Genomic DNA, 19,521 nt, shown 5'->3' with positions numbered 1-19,521 from the left:
AACTTATCCCTAAATCTCTACCTTCAGCTCTGGTGGCAGCTCTTGTAGTTATCCCACTCTCTTCTTTCCTCTCCATTTCACATTACAAAGCCCATGATAATTACAAAAATTAGTTATAAATTTTAATTTGAGGTAGTTGACTCACAAGACGTTGCACAGTCATAAAGTTCCCATGTATGCTTCCCCAGCTTCCCCAGTGATACATACACATAACCATATTTACATAACCACAGTACACTGTCAAAACCAGGAAATGGTCATTGATACAGTCCTCTTAACTCAGGTACAGACCTTATTCAGATTTCACCAGCTTTTACATTTGACATGTAGTTCAAGAGCCCCAGCTTTGCAAGACAGGACTACCTTGGAAGGCAGGGAAGTGGAAGAGACCAAGAATGCCAAGCTAGAATCTTTAACAAGAGATTTAGGAGGGAAGAAGAGAGAGATTCAATATGTACAGATGTAACTGTTGATCCATCACAATTAACCTAATTTGTTTCTCTTATTTTTCACCAAGGGAAAGCATGGTGCCTCTGGACCACCTGGCAACAAAGGGGCGAAGGGTGACATGGTTGTATCAAGAGTTAAAGGTGAGCATAATCAATCACTTAACTCCCTGCCATTTTATGAATGATGTATGGACCCTCCTCTTGCAGTAATTTCCCCTGTGACCATAGATCAATTCTATACAATTTAGGATGGTTGAGATTACTTAAAAAAATACTTCCTGCCCTTCATAAGGTTGTATGAATGTTGAGCCAAATCCCCTGTCTCTTATTTGAAAACATAAATATTCCTTTAGCCACACATTCACATCTTCATTATAGTGAACTTGAGTTTGGCTCAAGCCCTCCTTTGGCTTGGCTGGTGTTTATTCACCACATTACAGTATTCTATATTAGTCAATAATATTTTCATTGTAAATGAAAGAAGCCCAGCTTGAAATCGTTTTTTTAAGTAATTTATTGACCTAAACAAAATGTGAAATATTAAAAGGTAGTGTTTTTTATTAGTAAGAGTTCCCCAGGGACAGAACTAATAGGATATATGTGTATATGAAAAGGAGTTTATTAAGGAGAATTGACTCATATGATCTCAAGGTGAAACCCCACTACAGGCTGTCTGCAAGCTGAGGAGCAAGGAAGCCAGTAGTGGCTCAGCCCCAAAAGTAGTGGCTTTCCTACTTTTGAGTCCAAAAGCCTCAAAAGTAGGGAAGCCAACAGTGTGGCCCTCAGTCTGTGGCTGAAGGCACAAGAGCCCTGGCAAACCACTGATGTAAGTTTAAGAGTCCAAAGGCCGAAGAACCTGGAGACTGATGTCCAAGGGCAGGAAGCATTCAGCACAGGAGAAAGATGAAAGCCAGAAGACTCAGCAAGCCAGCTTATCCCACCTTCTTCCACCTGCTTTGTTCCAGCTGTGCTGGCAGCTAATTGGATGGTGCCCACCCACATTGGGAGTAGGTCTTCCTGTCGCAGTCCACTGACTCAAATGTTAATCTCCTCTGGCAACACCCTCACAGACACACCCAACAACAACCCTTTACCAGCTATGTAGGCATCCTTCATTCCAATCAAGTTGACACTTAATATTAACCATCACAGGTTGGCATTGGGACAACCAGATCCCGGCCTCCAGTGGCATCAAGAGGCTCTCCCTGCATCTTTCATCTCACATTGTACCATCTATATTTTCTCCCATCAGACTGATTTTCATACCCCCAGGCAGCTCCAAGTTCTTACATCCAGAGATGAAGAGAGCCCTGCTTTGTCAGCTCCAAATAGAAAAATAATTTCAGAAAGGACTGATTAGCTTAGGGCAAGTACCCAACCGCAGACCATTCCCCCTTTCCCATGGCCAGGGATAGAGTGCTGTGCTTGGCATCACAGGTAGGGGAAGATTCTGTGATTGGCACCTTCACACACCAGCTCCTTGCTGGAATGGGAAAAGGAGCTTTTCCCAAGTAAAGAGATTCAATGGTTCTAGCAATTGTCATTCTCCCCTCTGGCTTTGGCATGTTTTATGTGACTTGAGCAATTGAGATACACAGGAAACTACCAACCCAGAATCAAGGTCATTTTCTTTATTTTTTGTCCTCTCTATCCTACTTTACCCTCTGCTGATAAGAGCTTGAATATCTTTTGACCTCTATTTCCAGGGCACAAAGGAGAAAGAGGTCCTGATGGGCCCCCAGGATTTCCAGGGCAGCCAGGATCACATGGTCGGGATGGACATGCTGGAGAAAAAGGGGATCCAGGACCTCCAGTATGTAGAATTCTTCTCTTGCTATAGAATTTCACTTTCTTATATGGTCATACAAACAACTATTTCCCCTTTCTCTATTTGCCAAGCTGAAATTCAGTAAAATATCAACATACTATAAATCAGAGTCACTTTTGGCACCCTGACATGGAAAGATGATTGTTTTAAGAGGTATAGCATCATTGGACATGGTCTAAAATCCTCTTGGCAGTTCAGTCCTAGCAGGACTTTCGGTCCTTGGTCTTTATATCATTCTCGTGGTGTTCATTTTCTTCTGAGAAACTTGTATCCTAGAAGGGCCCCACTGATTTTAGGTGTATTCAGTTGACTCTGTGGGGTGGAGGATGGAGCTCGGGTCCCGATGTTTAGCATCAATTCTGTTTCCTGGAGAAGATGCACATGGGGGAAGTAGTGAGCATGAAAGGGTGAACTCGTGCAAACCCACAGAGTCAAGGCGTTGGCTGATGGAAAATCTCACTGATAAAGGATGTTGCTGCATTTTTCAGACATGCGTTGGGTGGATACCATGTGTAGGTAATGGTAATTAAGGTCATAAAAGAAGAGGATGAGATGATCCGATGCTTAGGAACTTAAAATATCTTAAATATGTGCAGTATTTCTGAATGCTTACAATATCACAGAAACCAGACTAGATGGTTTCCTCAAAACAGTCTTCTGAAAAGCAATACCTTTCCAATTTTACAGTAAGAAAATGGAGGCTTAGCATCTGATATTCAAGGCTACCCATCTGTCAAATAGGCAAAATAGGAGTGAAAACTTGTCTGTCTTATTTCAAAGTGCATGCTATTTCTACCAACCTGTGCTGCCTGCCATATATAATGGGAAGCCACTGAGAGTGTTGCAACAGGGAAAGACCATGTCCTGATTCTACAGGAAACCCTTCAGACAGAATCCAAGTGAACAAGAGAGAGAAGCCTGGAAATTGGCTTAGATGGTGTTTATAGCTTTCTGACCTTTCTCCTGATCACAAGTATGTGAATGATCTCTGCTTTAGGCTTGGTAATCTCTGCTTAATTCATTCTTCCTCTCAAGGAACTACTTAGAAATCACTGTCACTGAGTGGATATTGTCATAATGTACTCATCTAATTGTGAAAAAGCAGCGTCTATATAGATCAAACTAGGAGACGAATTTCAACGTTCGCTGAGGTCTTCCTAGATTCGTTGAAACAATCCAGATCCATAAGACTGTTGTAGACCACATTTGAGACCAGGCCATGTAGAAGGATAAAAGGTCACTCAAAATGCCAGCAGGACAGTGTCAGATATTCCTTGCATTTGAGAGTGCTTGCAGCTGTTCAGTCAGGTGGGGTGCAAGAAGGGATGAGACCCACATATGGTGGGCATGGAGGCAGCCCTGACTTGAAAGCCTCATTCCCCATGGGAGCTGTTATCCACTGCACAGCTTTTGAGAACCCCACCAGGGATTGCCAGTGAGGGAATCCTTGATGCAGGCTCCCCACAGTTCTTCCAGACCAGATGCAAATTTTGCAACTGGGGATTGATTTTACTATAAGCAGTACTGCCTAGGAAGGTAGTTGACAATCTAATTTTTATCAGAGGAACAGAACCAGACAGTTAACCAAAAGTCAAATTGTCATGCAAGAGGAGAAAGGACTTGCTAGGCTTTTACCCACAGGGGTGGAGGATGATGGAGTCTAGCTATGTATCTTGTCAAGAGAATACATAAGAATGTATTTGATTTGTAATCCCACCACCTCCCTTGATCTACTTATTTCTATATTCTATGACATATGATATTAGAGAATGGTTTGACATAAATCTCTTATTCTGTATTTAAGGCATATCACACACATTGTTTCCAGTATTTGAGGCTTAACACACATGCTTATATTATATGTATGTATATAAATTGTAAAATGTGTATATTGGCCAGGCGCGGTGGCTGACGCCTGTAATCCCTGCACTTTGGGAGGCTGAGGCAGGTGGAGGTCAGGGGTTTGAGACCAGCCTGGCCAACATGGCGAAACTCAGTCTCTACTAAAAATACAAAAATTAGCCAGGTGAGCTGGTGGGTGCCTGTAATCCCAGCTACTCAGGAGGCTGAGGCAGGAGAATCGCTTGAACCTGGGAGGTGGAGGCTGCAGTGAACCGAGATAGCACCACTGCACACCAGCCTGGGTGACAGAGAGAGACTCCATTTCTATATATATATATTTAAAATATTAAAAAGTATCTAAGTTATTTATTTTAAACTTACATTTGCTTAAGAGTAACTGTCTCCTGAAATTATGGACTTTTGCGTGTGTTTCTGTAACCTACAATGACTGCTTTGAGTTCATGGACATTCAGTGGTTGGTAATTGACTCATGACATAACATTCCCAGGGGGATCATGAAGATGCGACCCCAGGTGGTAAAGGATTTCCTGGACCTCTGGGCCCCCCAGGCAAAGCAGGACCTGTGGGGCCCCCAGGACTGGGATTTCCTGGTCCACCAGGAGAGCGAGGCCACCCAGGAGTTCCAGGCCACCCAGGTGTGAGGGGCCCTGATGGCTTGAAGGGTCAGAAAGGTAATTTTAAAAAAATTTTATTTATTTCAATAGCTTTGGGGTACAAGTGTTTATTTTTCTTATGTGGAAGAATTATATAGTGGTGAATTCTGAGATTTTAGTGTACCTGTCACCCGAGTAGTGTACATTTTACCTAACGTGTAGATTTTTGTATCCCTAGACCCCTTTCCTCCCTCCTCCTTCTTTTTTTTTTTCTCAGTATTCAAGTGTTTTTCTTTTTCTTTTTCTTTAATTTTACTTTAAGTTCTGGGATACATATGTAGAATGAGCAGGTTTGTTACATAGGTATACATGTGCCATGGTGGTTTGCTGCATCTATCAACCCATCATCTAGGTTTTAAGCCCCACATGCATTAAGGTATTTGTCCTAATGCTCTCCTTCCCCTTACCCCTGACCCCCTGACAGGTCTCGATATTATGTGATGTTCCCCTCCCTGTGTCCATGTGTTCTCATTGTTCAACTCCCACTTATGAGCGAGAACATGCGGTGTTTGGTTTTCTGTTCCTGTGTTAGTGTGCTGAGATTGATAGCTTCCAGCTTCATCCACATCCCTACAAAAGAAAATGTTCTCATTCTTTTTTTATGGCTGCATAGTATACCATGGTGTATATATGCCACATTTTCTTTGTCCAGTCTATCATTGATGGGCATTTGGTTTGGTTCCAAGTCTTTGCTATGGTAAATAGTACTGCAATAAACATATGTTTACATGTGTCTTTATAGTAGAATGATTTATAATCCTTTGGGTATATACCTAGTAATGGGATTGCTGGGTCAAATGGTATTTTTGATTCTAGATCCTTGAGGAATCACCACACTGTCTTCCATCATGGTTGAACTAATTTACACTCCCACCAACAGTGTAAAAGTGTTCCTATTTCTCCATATCCTCTCCAGCATCTGTTGTTTCCTGACTTTTTAATAATCTCTACTCTAACTGCCGTGAGATGGTATCTCATTGTGGTTTTGATTTGCATTTCTCTAATGACCACTGATGAAAAGCTTTTTTTCATGTTTGTTGGCCACATAAATATCTTCTTTTGAGAAGAAGGATATCTGTTCATATCCTTCACCCACTTTTTGAAGGGGTTGGTTTTTTCTTGTAAATTTGTTTAAGTTCCTTGTATATTCTGGATATTAGACTTTTGTCAGATGGGTAGATTGCATAAATTTTCTCCCATTCTGTAGGTTGCTTGTTCACTCTGATGACAGTTTCTTTTGCTGCACAGAAGCTCTTTAGTTTGATTAGATCCCATTTGTCAATTTGGCTTCTTTTGCAATTGCTTTTGGTATTTTAATCATGAAGTCTTTGCCCATGCCTATGTCCTGAATGATATTGCCTAGGTTTTCTTCTAGGGTTTTTATGGTTTTGGGTTTTACATTTAAGTCTTTAATCCATCTTGGGTTAATTTTTGTATAAGATGTAAGGAAGGGGTCCAGTTTCTGCTTTCTGCATATGGCTAGCCAGTTTTCCCAACACCATTAATTAAATAGGGACTCCTTTCCCCATAGCTTGTTTTTATCAGGTTTGTCAAAAAGCAGATGGTTGTAGATGTGTAGTGTTATTTCTGAGGTCTCTGTTCTGTTCCATTGGCCTGTATATCTGCTTTGGTACCAGTACCATGCTGTTTTGGTTACTGTAGACTTGTAGTATAGTTTGAAGTCAGGTAGCTTGATCCCTCCAGCTTTGTTCTTTTTGCTTAGGATGGTCTTGGCTATATGGGCTCTTTTTTGGTTCCATGTGAAATTTAAAGTAATTTTTTTTTCTAATTCTGTGAAGAAAGTCAATGATAGCTTGATGGGAATAGTACTGAAGCTATAAATTACTTTGGGCAGTATGGCCATTTTCATGATATTGATTCTTCCTATCCAAGAGTGTATAATGTTTTTCCATTTGTTTGTGTCCTCTCTTATTTCTTTGAGCAGTAGTTTGTAGTTCTCCTTGAAGAGGTCCTTCATATTCCTTGTAAGTTGTATTCCTAGGTATTTTTTTCTCTTTGTAGCAATTGTGAATGGGAGTTCACTCATGATTTGGCTCTCTGCTTGCCTATTGTTGATGTATAGGAATGGTTGTGAATTTTGCACATTGATTTTGTATCCTGAGACTTTGCTGAAGTTGCTTAGCTTAAGGAGTTTTTGGGCTGAGACGATGGGATTTTCTAAATATACAATCATGTCATCTGCAAACAGAGACAATTTGACTTCCTCTCTTCCTGTTTGAATGCTCTTTATTTCTTTCTGTTGCCTGATTGCCTTGGCCAGAACTTCCAATACTATGTTGAATAGGAGTGGTGAGAGAGGGCATCCTTGTCTTGTGCTGGTTTTCAAAGGGAATGCTTCCAGCTTTTGCAAATTCAGTATGATATTGCCTATGGGTTTGTCATAAATAGCTCTTGTTATTTTGAGATATGTTCCATCAATAACTAGTTTATTGAGAGTTTTTTCATGAAGAGATATTGAATTTTATTGAAGGCCTTTTCTGTCTCTGTTAAAATAATCATGTGGTTTTTGTCAGTGGTTCTGTTTATGTGATGAATTATGTTTATTGATTTGCATATGTTGAACCAGCCTTGCATCCCAGACTTGATCGTGGTGGATATGCTTTTTGATGTGCTGCTGGATTCCGTTTGCCAGTATTTTATTGAGGGTTTTTGCATTAAGGTTCATCAGGGATATTAGCTTGAAAATTTTTGTTGTTGTGTCTCTGCCAGGTTTTGGTATCAGGATGATGCTGGCCTCATAAAATGAGTAAGGGAGGAGTTCTTATTTTTCTATTGTTTGGAATAGTTTCAGAAGAAATGGTACCAGCTCCTCTTTGTAGCTCTGGTAAACTTCGGCTGTGAATCCATCTGGTCGTGGGCTTTTTTTGGTTGGTAGGCTCACTACCTCATTGGTTACTGCCTCAATTTCAGAACTTGTTATTGGTCTATTTGAATAACCAAATAAACCAGATTTGAATTCTTCCTGGTTTAGTCTTGGGGCATCCTCCCTTTTCTGAATCTCTGAAGTCCATTATATCACTCTTATGCCTTTGCATACTCATCACTTACCTCCCACTCGTAAGTGAGAACATACAGTTTTTGGTTTTCCACTCCTGTGTTACTTCATTTATAATTATGGCCTCCAGCTCCATCTAAGTTGCTGCAAAAGCCATTGTTTTGTTCCTTTTAATGGCTGAGTAGTATTCCATGTTTTTTGTATACCACATTTTCTTTATCCACTCATTAGTCAACAGGCACTTAGATTGGTGCCACATCTTTGCAATTGTGAATTGTGCTGCTATAAACATACATGTGCAAGTGTCTTTTTCATATAATGACTTCTCTTCCTTTGGGTAGATACCCAGTAGTGGGATTGCTGGGTCGCATGGTGGATCTACTTTTATCTCTTTAGGGAATCTCCACACTTGTTTTCTACAGAGGTTGTACTAATTTACATTTCCATCAGCATTGTATAAGTGTTCCCTTTTCTCCACATCCATGCCAATATCTATTGTTTTTTGTCTTTAAATAATGGCCATTTTTTGCAGGAGTAAGGCAATATCTCATTGCAGTTTTAATTGGCATTTCCCTAATGATTAGTGATGTTGAGTATTTTTTCACATGCTTGTTGTCCATTTGTTTATCTTACTTTGAGAAATGTCTATTCATGTCCTTTTCCCACTTTTTAATGGGATTATTTGTTTTTTTCTTGGTGTTTTGTTTGAGTTCTTTGTAGATTCCGCATACTGGCCCTTTGTCGGATGCATAGTTTGCAAATAGCTTCTCCCATTCTGTGGGTTTCTGTTTACTCTACTTATTTATTTTTTTTGTTGTGCAGAGGCCTTTTAGTTTAACTGGGTCCCATTTATGTATTTAGTTTTTGTTGCATTTGCTTTTGGGGTCTTATTCATGAATTCTTTGCTGAGGCCAATATCTATATGAGTTTTTCCAATGTTGTCTTATAGAATTTTGATAGTTTCAGGTCTTATATTTAAGTCTTTGAACCATCTTCAGTTGATTTTTGTATAAGGTGAGAGATAGGAATCCGGTTTTATTCTTCTAATACATGTAGCTTGGCAGTTTTCCCAGCATCATTTATTAAATAGGGTGTCCACCCCCCAATTTTTTGTTTTTGTATGCTTTGTTAAAGATCAGTTAGCTGTAGATATTTGGCTTTGTTTCTGGATTCTCTGTGCTGTTCCATTGGTGTATGTGCCTACTTTTACAACAGTACCATGCTGTTTTGGTAACTAAAGCCTTGTAGTATAATTTGAAGTTCAGTAATGTGATGTCTCCAGATTTGTTCTTTTTTGCTTAGGATTGCTTTGTCTATTCAGGCTCTTTTTTGGTTCAATACAAAATTCAGGATTGTTTTTTCTAATTCTATGAAAAATGATGTGCATATTTTGATGGGAATTCCACTGAATCTGTAGATTACTTTTGAAGTGTGGTCATTTTCACATTATCAATTATCCCAATCCATAAACACTGGATGCATTTCCATTTGTGTCATCTATGATTTCTTTCAACAGTGTTTTGTAGTTCTCCTTTTTGAGAACTTTCACCTCCTTGGTTAAGTATATTTTTAGTTATTTTATTTTAGTTTTCACAGCTGTTGTAAAAGGAATTGAGTTATTAATTTGATTCTCAACTTGATTGTTGTTGGTGTATAGCAATGCTACTGATTTATGTACAATGATTTTGTAACCTGAGACTTTACTGAATTTGTTTATCATATCTAAGAGTATTTTTGAAGAATCCTTAGGATTTTGTAAGTGTACAATCATATTATCGGCAAACAGTGATAGTTTGACTTCCTCTTTTCTAATTTTGATGCTGTTTATTTATTTCTCTTACCTAATTGCTCTGGCTAGTACTTCCAGAACTATGTTGAATAGGAGTGGTGAAAGTGGGCATCCTTCTCTTGTTCCTGTTCTCAGGGGGAATGCTTTCAACTTTTTTCCATTCCATATGATGTTATCTGTGGGTTTGTCATACATAGTTATTATTATTTGAGGTAGGTCCCATCTATGCCTTGTTTGTTGAGATTTTTTGTCATAAAGGAATGCTGGATTTTGTCGAATGCTTTTTCTGCATCTATTGATCATGTGGTTTTTGTTTTTAATTATGTTTATGTGATGGATCACATTTATTGACTTGCATATATTAAACCATCCCTACATCCCTGGGATGAAAACCACTTGATCATGATGAATTCTCTTTTTGATATGCTGTTCAATTCATTTAGTATTTTGTTGAGGATTTTTGCATCTATGTTCATCAAGGAAATTGGTCTGTAGTTTGTGTGTGTGTGTGTGTATCTTTTCCTGTGTTGGTATCAGGATGATACTAGCTTAATAGAATGATTTAGGGAGGATGCCTTCTTTATCAATCTTTTGGAACAGTTTCAGTAGGATTTGTACCAATTCTTTTCTCTCAGTGTCTAAGTAGAATTTAGCTGTGAATCCATCTGATTCTGGGTTTGTTTTCTTGGGAATTTAAAAATTACTGATTCAATCTCACTGCTTGTTATTGGTTTGTTTGAGGTTTCTATTTCTTCCTGATATAATCTAGTAGGGTTTTATGTTTCCAGGAATTTGTCCATTTCCTCTAGATTTCCTAGTTTGTGTACATAAAGGTATCCATAGTAGTCTTGAATGGTCTTTTGTATTTCTGTGGTGTTGGTTGTAATGACCCCAGTTTCGGTTCTAATTGAGCTTATTTGGATCTTCTCTCTTCTTTTCTTGTTTAATCTAGCTAATGGTCTATTGATTTTGTTTATTTTTTCAAGGAAACGGCTTTTTAACTAGCTTTTTATTCATTAATTTTTCATATTTTTTTGGTTTGCATTTCATTTGGTTCAGTCTGATCTTTGTTATTTCTTCTTCTAGCTCTAAGTTTAGTATGCTTTTGTTTTTCTAGTTCCTTGAGGTGTGACTTTAGGTTGTCAATGTGTGCTTTTTCAGACTTTTTGATGTAGGCAGTTAGCACTATAAGCTTTCCTCTTAGCACTGCTTTTGCTGTATTCCAGATGTTTTGAAAACTTGTGTCAATATTATCATTCAATTCAAATAATTTTTAAATGTCCATCCTGATTTCATTGTTAACCCAGATATCATTCAGGAGCAGATTATTTAATTTCCATGTATTTGTATAATTTTGAGGGTTCCTTTTGGAGTTGATTTCTAATTTTATTCCACTGTGGTCTGAGAAGATACTTGATACAATTTCAGTTTTAAAAAATTTATTGAGACTTATTTTGTGGCCTGTCATATGGTCTATCTTGGAGAATGTTCCATGCTTCTGAGAAGAATGTATATCCTGCAGATCTTGGGTAGAATGTTCTGTAAATGTCTGTTAAGTTAATTTGCTCTAGTGTGTCACTTACATCCATTGTTTCTCTGTTGACGTTCTGTCATGAAGATCTGTCTAGTGCTGTCAGTGGTGTATTGAAGTCTCCCACTATTATTGTTTTGCTGTCTATCTCATTTCTTAGGTCTAGTAGTAATTGTTTTTTGAATCTAAAAGCTCCAGTGTTTGGTGCATATAAATTTATGATTGTAGTATCTTCTTGTTGATCGTTTTATCATTACATAGTGACCATCTTTGTCTTTTTGTTATTACTATTGTTATTTTGAAGTTTGTTTTTTCTGATACAAGAATAGCTATCCCTGCTGCCTTTGGTTTCTATCTGCATGGAATACATTTTCCTACCCCTTTATCTTGAGTTTATATGAGTATTTCTGTGTTAGCCTCTTAAAGACAGCAGATATTTGGATTGTGTTGTTTTTGTCCATTTTGCCATCCCGTATCTTTGAAGTGGAGCATTTACACTCAACATGAATATTGAGATGTGAGGTATTGTTCTCTTCATCATGTTAATTGTTACCCAGATAGTTGTCTTTTCATTGTGTTATTGTATTATAGGCCGTGTGAGTTCTAAAGTTTCAAGAGGTTCTATTTTGGTGCATATCAGGCTTTTGTTTCAAGGTTTAGAACTCCTTTTAGCATTTATTTATTTATTTATTTATTTATTATTATACTTTAAGTTTTAGGGTACATGTGCACAATGTGCAGGTTAGTTACATATGTATACATGTGACATGCTGCTGTGCTGCACCCACTAACTCGTCATCTAGCATTAGGTATAACTCCTAATGCTATCCTCCCCCCTCCCCCCTCCCCCCACCCCACAACAGTCCCCAGAGTGTGATGTTCCCCTTCCTGTGTCTATGTGTTCTCATTGTTCAATTCCCACCTATGAGTGAGAATATGTGGTGTTTGGTTTTTTGTTCTTGCGATAGTTTACTGAGAATGATGATTTCCAGTTTCATCCATGTCCCTACAAAGGACATGCACTCATTGTTTTTTATGGCTGCATAGTATTCCATGGTGTATATGTGCCACATTTTCTTAATCCAGTCTATCATTGTTGGACATTTGGGTTGGTTCCAAGTCTTTGCTATTGTGAATAATGCCGCAATAAACATACGTGTGCATGTGTCTTTAAAGCAGCATGATTTATAATCCTTTGGGTATATACCCAGTAATGGGATGGCTGGTTCAAATGGTATTTCTAGTTCTAGATCCCTGAGGAATCGCCACACTGACTTCCACAATGGTTGAACTAGTTTACAGTCCCACCAACAGTGTAAAAGTGTTCCTATTTCTCCACATCCTCTCCAGCACTTGTTGTTTCCTGACTTTTTAATGATTGCCATTCTAACTGGTGTGAGATGGTATCTCATTGTGGTTTTGATTTGCATTTCTCTGATGGCCAGTGATGGTGAGCATTTTTTCATTGTTTTTTGGCTGCATAAATGTCTTCTTTTGAGAAGTGTCTGTTCATGTCCTTCGCCCACTTTTTGATGGGGTTGTTTGTTTTTTTCTTGTAAATTTGTTTGAGTTCATTGTAGATTCTGGATATTAGCCCTTTGTCAGATGAGTAGGTTGCGAAAATTTTCTCCCATTTTGTAGGTTGCCTGTTCACTCTGATGGTAGTTTCTTTTTCTGTGCAGAAGCTCTTTAGTTTAATTAGATCCCATTTGTCAATTTTGTCTTTTGTTGCCATTGCTTTTGGTGTTTTAGACATGAAGTCCTTGCCCATGCCTATGTCCTGAATGGTAATGCCTAGGTTTTCTTCTAGGGTTTTTATGGTTTTAGGTCTAATGTTTAAGTCTTTAATCCGTCTTGAATTGATTTTTGTATAAGGTGTAAGGAAGGGATCTGGTTTCAGCTTTCTACGTATGGCTAGCCAGTTTTCCCAGCACCATTTATTAAATAGGGAATCCTTTCCCTATTGCTTGTTTTTCTCAGGTTTGTCAAAGACCAGATAGTTGTAGATATGCGGCGTTATTTCTGAGGGCTCTGTTCTGTTCCATTGATCTATATCTCTGTTTTGGTACCAGTACCATGCTGTTTTGGTTACTGTAGCCTTGTAGTATAGTTTGAAGTCAGGTAGTGTGATGCCTCCGGCTTTGTTCTTTTGGCTTAGGATTGACTTGGCGATGCCGGCTCTTTTTTGGTTCCATATGAACTTTAAAGTAGTTTTTTTCCAATTCTGTGAAGAAAGTCATTGGTAGCTTGATGGGGATGGCATTGAATCTGTAAATTGCCTTGGGCAGTATGGCCATTTTCACGATATTGATTCTTCCTACCCATGAGCATGGAATATTCTTCCATTTGTTTGTATCCTCTTTTATTTCCTTGAGCAGTGGTTTGTAGTTCTCCTTGAAGAGGTCCTTCACATCCCTTGTAAGTTGGATTCCTAGGTATTTTATTCTCTTTGAAGCAATTGTGAATGGGAGTTCACTCATGATTTGGCTCTCTGTTTGTCTGTTGTTGGTGTATAAGAATGCTTGTGATTTTTGTACATTGATTTTGTATCCTGAGACTTTGCTGAAGTTACTTATCAGCTTAAGGAGATTTTGGGCTGAGACAATGGGGTTTTCTAGATATACAATCATGTCGTCTGCAAACAGGGACAATTTGACTTCCTCTTTTCCCAATTGAATACCCTTTATTTCCTTCTCCTGCCTAATTGCCCTGGCCAGAACTTCCAACACTATGTTGAATAGGAGTGGTGAGAGAGGGCATCCCTGTCTTGTGCCAGTTTTCAAAGGGAATGCTTCCAGTTTTTGCCCATTCAGTATGATATTGGCTGTGGGTTTGTCATAGATAGCTCTTATTATTTTGAAATATGTCCCATCAATACCTAATTTATTGAGAGTTTTTAGCATGAAAGTTGTTGAATTTTGTCAAAGGCCTTTTCTGCATCTATTGAGATAATCATGTGGTTTTTGTCTTTGGTTCTGTTTATATGCTGGATTACATTTATTGATTCGCGTATATTGAACCAGCCTTGCATCCCAGGGGTGAAGCCCACTTGATCATGGTGGATAAGCTTTTTGATGTGCTGCTGGATTCGGTTTGCCAGTATTTTTTGAGGATTTTTGCATCAATGTTCATCAAGGATATTGGTCTAAAATTCTCTTTTTTGGTTGTGTCTCTGCCTGGCTTTGGTATCAGGATGATGCTGACCTCATAAAATGAGTTAGGGAGGATTCCCTCTTTTTCTATTGATTGGAATAGTTTCAGAAGGAATGGTACCAGTTCCTCCTTGTACCTCTGGTAGAATTCAGCTGTGAATCCATCTGGTCCTGGACCCTTTTTAGTTGGTAAGCTATTGATTATTGCCACAATTTCAGATCCTGTTATTGGTCTATTCAGAGATTCAACTTCTTCCTGGTTTAGTCTTGGGAGAGTGTATGTGTCGAGGAATTTATCCATTTCTTCTAGATTTTCTAGTTTATTTGCGTAGAGGTGTTTGTAGTATTCTCTGATGGTAGTTTGTATTTCTGTGGGATCGGTGGTGATATCCCCTTTATCATTTTTTATTGCATCTATTTGATTCTTCTCTCTTTTTTTCTTTATTAGTCTTGCTAGCGGTCTATCAATTTTGTTGATCCTTTCAAAAAACCAGCTCCTGGATTCATTAATTTTTTGAAGGGTTTTTTGTGTCTCTATTTCTTTCAGTCCTGCTCTGATTTTAGTTATTTCTTGCCTTCTGCTAGCTTTTGAATGTGTTTGCTCTTGCTTTTCTAGTTCTTTTAATTGTGATGTTAGGGTGTCAATTTTAGATCTTTCCTGCTTTCTCTTGAGGGCATTTAGTGCTATAAATTTCCCTCTACACACTGCTTTGAGTGCATCCCAGAGATTCTGGTATGTTGTGTCTTTGTTCTCGTTGGTTTCAAAGAACATCTTTATCTCTGCCTTCATTTCGTTATGTACCCAGTAGTCATTCAGGAGCAGGTTGTTCAGTTTCCATGTAGTTGAGTGGTTTTGAGTGAGATTCTTAATCCTGAGTTCTAGTTTGATTGCATTGTGGTCTGAGAGATAGTTTGTTATAATTTCTGTTCTTTTACATTTGCTGAGGAATGCTTTACTTCCAAGTATGTGGTCAATTTTGGAATAGGTGTGGTGTGGTGCAGAAAAAAATGTATATTCTGTTGATTTGGGGTGGAGAGTTCTGTAGATGTCTATTAGGTCTGCTTGGTGCAGAGCTGAGTTCAATTCCTGTGTATCCTTGTTGACTTTCTGTCTCGTTGATCTGTCTAATGTTGACAGTGGAGTGTTAAAGTCTCCCATTATTAATGTGTGGGAGTCTAAGTCTCTTTGTAGGTCACTCAGGACTTGCTTTATGAATCTGGGTGCTCCTGTATTGGGTGCATATATATTTAGGATAGTTAGCTCTTCTTGTTGAATTGAGCCCTTTCCCATTATGTAATGGCCTTCTTTGTCTCTTTTGATCTTTGTTGGTTTAAAGTCTGTTTTATCAGAGACTAGGATTGCAATCCCTGCCTTTTTTTGTTTTCCATTTGCTTGGTAGATCTTCCTCCATCCTTTTATTTTGAGCCTATGTGTGTCTCTGCACGTGAGATGGGTTTGCTGAATACAGCACACTGATGGGTCTTGACTCTTTATCCAATTTGCCAGTCTGTGTCTTTTAATTGGAGCATTTAGTCCATTTACATTTAAAGTTAATATTGTTATGTTTGAATTTGATCCTGTCATGATGATGTTAGCTGGTTATTTTGCTCATTAGTTGATGCAGTTTCTTCCTAGTCTCGATGGTCTTTACATTTTGGCATGATTTTGCAGCAGCTGGTACCGGTTGTTCCTTTCCATGTTTAGCGCTTCCTTCAGGAGCTCTTTTAGGGCAGGCCTGGTGGTGACAAAATCTCTCAGCATTTGCTTGTCTGTAAAGTATTTTATTTCTCCTTCACTTATGAAGCTTAGTTTGGCTGGATATGAAATTCTGGGTTGAAAATTCTTTTCTTTGAGAATGTTGAATATTGGCCCCCACTCTCTTCTGGCTTGTAGAGTTTCTGCCGAAAGATCCACTGTTAGTCTGATGGGCTTCCCTTTGAGGGTAACCCGACCTTTCTCTCTGGTTGCCCTTAACATTTTTTCCTTCATTTCAACTTTGGTGAATCTGACAATTATGTGTCTTGGAGTTGCTCTTCTCGAGGAGTATCTTTGTGGCGTTCTCTGTATTTCCTGAATCTGAATGTTGGCCTGCCTTGCTAGATTGGGGAAGTTCTCCTGGATAATATCCTGCAGAGTGTTTTCCAACTTGGTTCCATTCTCCCTGTCACTTTCAGGTACACCAATCAGATGTAGATTTGGTCTTTTCACATAGTCCCATATTTCTTGGAGGCTTTGCTCATTTCTTTTTATTCTTTTTTCTCTAAACTTCCCTTCTCGCTTCATTTCATCTTCCATCGCTGATACCCTTTGTTCCAGTTGATCGCATCGGCTCCTGAGGCTTCTGCATTCTTCACGTAGTTCTCGAGGCTTGGTTTTCAGCTCCATCAGCTCCTTTAAGCACTTCTCTATATTGGTTATTATAGTTATACATTCTTCTAAATTCTTTTCAAAGTTTTCAACTTCTTTGCCTTTGGTTTGAATGTTCCCCCGTAGCTCGGAGTAATTTGATCGTCTGAAGCCTTCTTCTCTCAGCTCGTCAAAGTGATTCTCCGTCCAGCTTTGTTCCATTGCTGGCGAGGAACTTCGTTCCTTTGGAAGAGGAGAGGTGCTCTGGTTTTTAGAGTTTCCAGTTTTTCTGCTCTGTTTTTTCCCCATCTTTGTGGTTTTATCTACTTTTGGTCTTTGATGATGGTGATGTAGAGATGGGTTTTTGGTGTAGATGTCCTTTCTGTTTGTTAGTTTTCCTTCTAACAGTACCCTCAGCTGCAGGTCTGTTGGAGTACTGGGCCCTGTGAGGTGTCAGTCTGCCCCTGCTGGGGGGTGCCTCCCAGTTAGGCTGCTCGGGGGTCAGGGGTCAGGGACCCACTTGAGGAGGCAGTCTGCCTGTTCTCAGATCTCCAGCTGTGTGCTGGGAGAACCACTGCTCTCTTCAAAGCTGTCAGACAGGGACATTTAAGTCTGCAGAGGTTACTGCTGTCTTTTTGTTTGTCTGTGCCCTGCCCCCAGAGGTGGAGCCTACAGAGGCAGGCAGGCCTCCTTGAGCTGTGGTGGGCTCCACCCAGTTTGAGCTTCTGGGCTGCTTTGTTTACCTAATCAAGCCTGGGCAATGGCGGGCGCCCCTCCCCCAGCCTCGCTGCCGCCTTGCAGTTTGATCTCAGACTGCTGTGCTAGCAATCAGCCTGGCGTAGGACCCTCCGAGCCAGGTGCGGGATGTGATCTCCTGGTGCGCCGTTTTTTAAGCCCGTCGGAAAAGCGCAGTATTCGGGTGGGAGTGGCCCGATTTTCCAGGTGCCCTCTGTCACCCCTTTCTTTGACTAGGAAAGGGAACTCCCTGACCCCTTGCACTTCCCAAGTGAGGCAATGCCTCGCCCTGCTTCGGCTCGTGCACGGTGCGCGCACCCACTGACCTGCACCCACTGTCTGGCACTCCCTAGTGAGATGAACCCGGTACCTCAGATGGAAATGCAGAAATCACCCGTCTTCTGCGTCGCGCGCGCTGGGAGCTGTAGACTGGAGCTGTTCCTATTCGGCCATCTTCCCTTTTAGCATTTCTTGTAGTGCATGTTTTGTAGTGAAAAATTTCCTCAGCATTTGCTTGTCTGAAAATGACTTTATTTCTCCTTCATTTATGAAATTTAGTTTTGTGGAATACGAAATTCTTGGCCGACAGTTGTTCTGTTTAAGGAGGTTGAAGATAGGATGCCAATCCCTTTTGGCTTGTAAGGTTTCTGCTGAGAAGTCTGCTATAAGTCTGATAGGTTTTCATTTATAAGTTACCTGATGCATTTGTCTCACTGCTCTTAGAATTCTTGCCTTCATTTTGAATTTAGATAGTCTGATAACTATATGGCTTGGTGAAGGTCTTTTTGCAATGAATTTCCCAGGAGTTCTTTAAGCTTCTTGGCTTTGGATATCTAGATCTGTAGCCAGGCCATGGAAGTTTTCCTCAATAACTGCCTCAAATTAGTTCTTTTTTCTTTTCCCTCAGGAATGCCAATTAGTCTTAGGTTTGGCTGTTTTACTAATACCATATGTCTTAGAGTCTTTGTTCATTTTTTTCTTATTTTTGTCTGATTGGGTTAATTCAAAAGCCTTGTCTTTGAGCTCTGAAATTCTTTTTGTTCTAGTCTATTGTTAAAACTTTCCACTGCATTTTGTAATTCCCTCAGTATGTTTTTCATTTGTCAAAGTTCGGATTAGTTTTTCTTGATGATATCTGTCTAGAGAATTTTTTTGTTCATATCCTGAATTGCTTTTTAAATTTATTTATGATGTTTTCACCCAGAAAGGTAATTTTGAATATTTCTGTGGCAGAATGTCACATAAAATCATGGAAGCTAAAATGAGTCTCTTCTGGGCAAAATTATTATAGCTATGGCATAATAGCTACATAAAATTTGATCCAGGCACTGTTCAAACCTTGTACCTTGTTAAACAAATAAAAGCATTACAACACAATATTTAAAGTAAATCCTTAAGATGCTAAAATATCTTTGTTGTTTTATTTGACATACCAAAATTGCTTTTCCTTCATTTCTCAGTATGAACTCATACAATCTGACTATATTAAAATTACATATATGTATATATATTATATACACATACTCAAAGTATAGAATTATTTTTATAGTCTTTTGAGATAATACTATATATTTTAATTTTTAAAAACTAGTATCTCATTTAAACTATCATTGTCCATGAAAAACCATTTGTTGGCATTCTAGTGAGAAAAAAGAAGGTATTTTAAATATATTTTACAGTTATGTGAATTTCAAACAATAAAATGACTTTCAGGATTATAGCTGAAAACTCTTAAGAAGGTGGCAAAAAAGGTTTAAGTTTTTTTCTTTTGTAACATGTATTATATATATATCTTGAACTACATTGCTAGTTGTGAAGTTTTAGAACAAAGTAATATCCTTTGTTCTTGTTTTGATAACAGAAAGGCAAGCAAGTATCTTGGTATTTGATAAGGTATAAATTCATGGTCTAGAACCCAACAAAATCTGATGTCATTTTTATTCATCTGATATATCTTAGATCTGAGAGCATATAAAGAAATGCACTATGAGGTATTATTCCTAATATAAAAGAGAAAAATTCCATTTTAGGATACAGGAACTGAGAGGGAACTGAGAGGCTCAAACTTGGGTGTTTTATTGGTGATATCTATCTCTCTAGAAAATTTTTCATTCAGACCCTCAACTGCTTATTAACTTTCTTTAAACATTTCTTTAAC

The 19,521-nt window shown here is 38.8% G+C and overlaps 1 protein-coding gene across 29 annotated transcripts in view, besides 1 other annotated feature; it reads left to right on the top strand.

Moving 5' to 3' along the window:
* COL4A4 (collagen type IV alpha 4 chain) overlaps positions 1–19,521 on the top strand; it is a 197,129-nt gene that overhangs the window by 81,784 nt on the left and 95,824 nt on the right. For all 29 annotated transcript variants that reach the window (XR_922837.3, XR_001738602.2, XR_007069255.1 and 26 more), the window contains 3 exons: positions 518–590; positions 2,156–2,262; positions 4,628–4,811. Coding sequence is in view for 26 of the 29 variants with exons in the window: in XM_011510565.3 (XP_011508867.1) it covers positions 518–590; positions 2,156–2,262; positions 4,628–4,811 (364 nt within the window). In the remaining 3 variants the exon portion in view is untranslated. The remainder of the gene's footprint in view (positions 1–517; positions 591–2,155; positions 2,263–4,627; positions 4,812–19,521) is intronic.
* Positions 17,013–17,600: an enhancer, noted in NCBI's record as "H3K27ac-H3K4me1 hESC enhancer chr2:227929821-227930408 (GRCh37/hg19 assembly coordinates)". NCBI's record gives its function as "activates a minimal SCP1, AML or CMV promoter by ChIP-STARR-seq in naive H9 embryonic stem cells {active_cell/tissue: H9 hESC(naive)}" and the evidence as "EXISTENCE:reporter gene assay evidence [ECO:0000049][PMID:30033119]".

Source organism: Homo sapiens, chromosome 2, assembly GCF_000001405.40.
Source record: "Homo sapiens chromosome 2, GRCh38.p14 Primary Assembly".
Lineage (NCBI taxonomy): Eukaryota > Metazoa > Chordata > Mammalia > Primates > Hominidae > Homo > Homo sapiens.
Note: the sequence above shows the minus strand (reverse complement) of the source record. Positions and strands in the feature narration are given on the sequence as shown.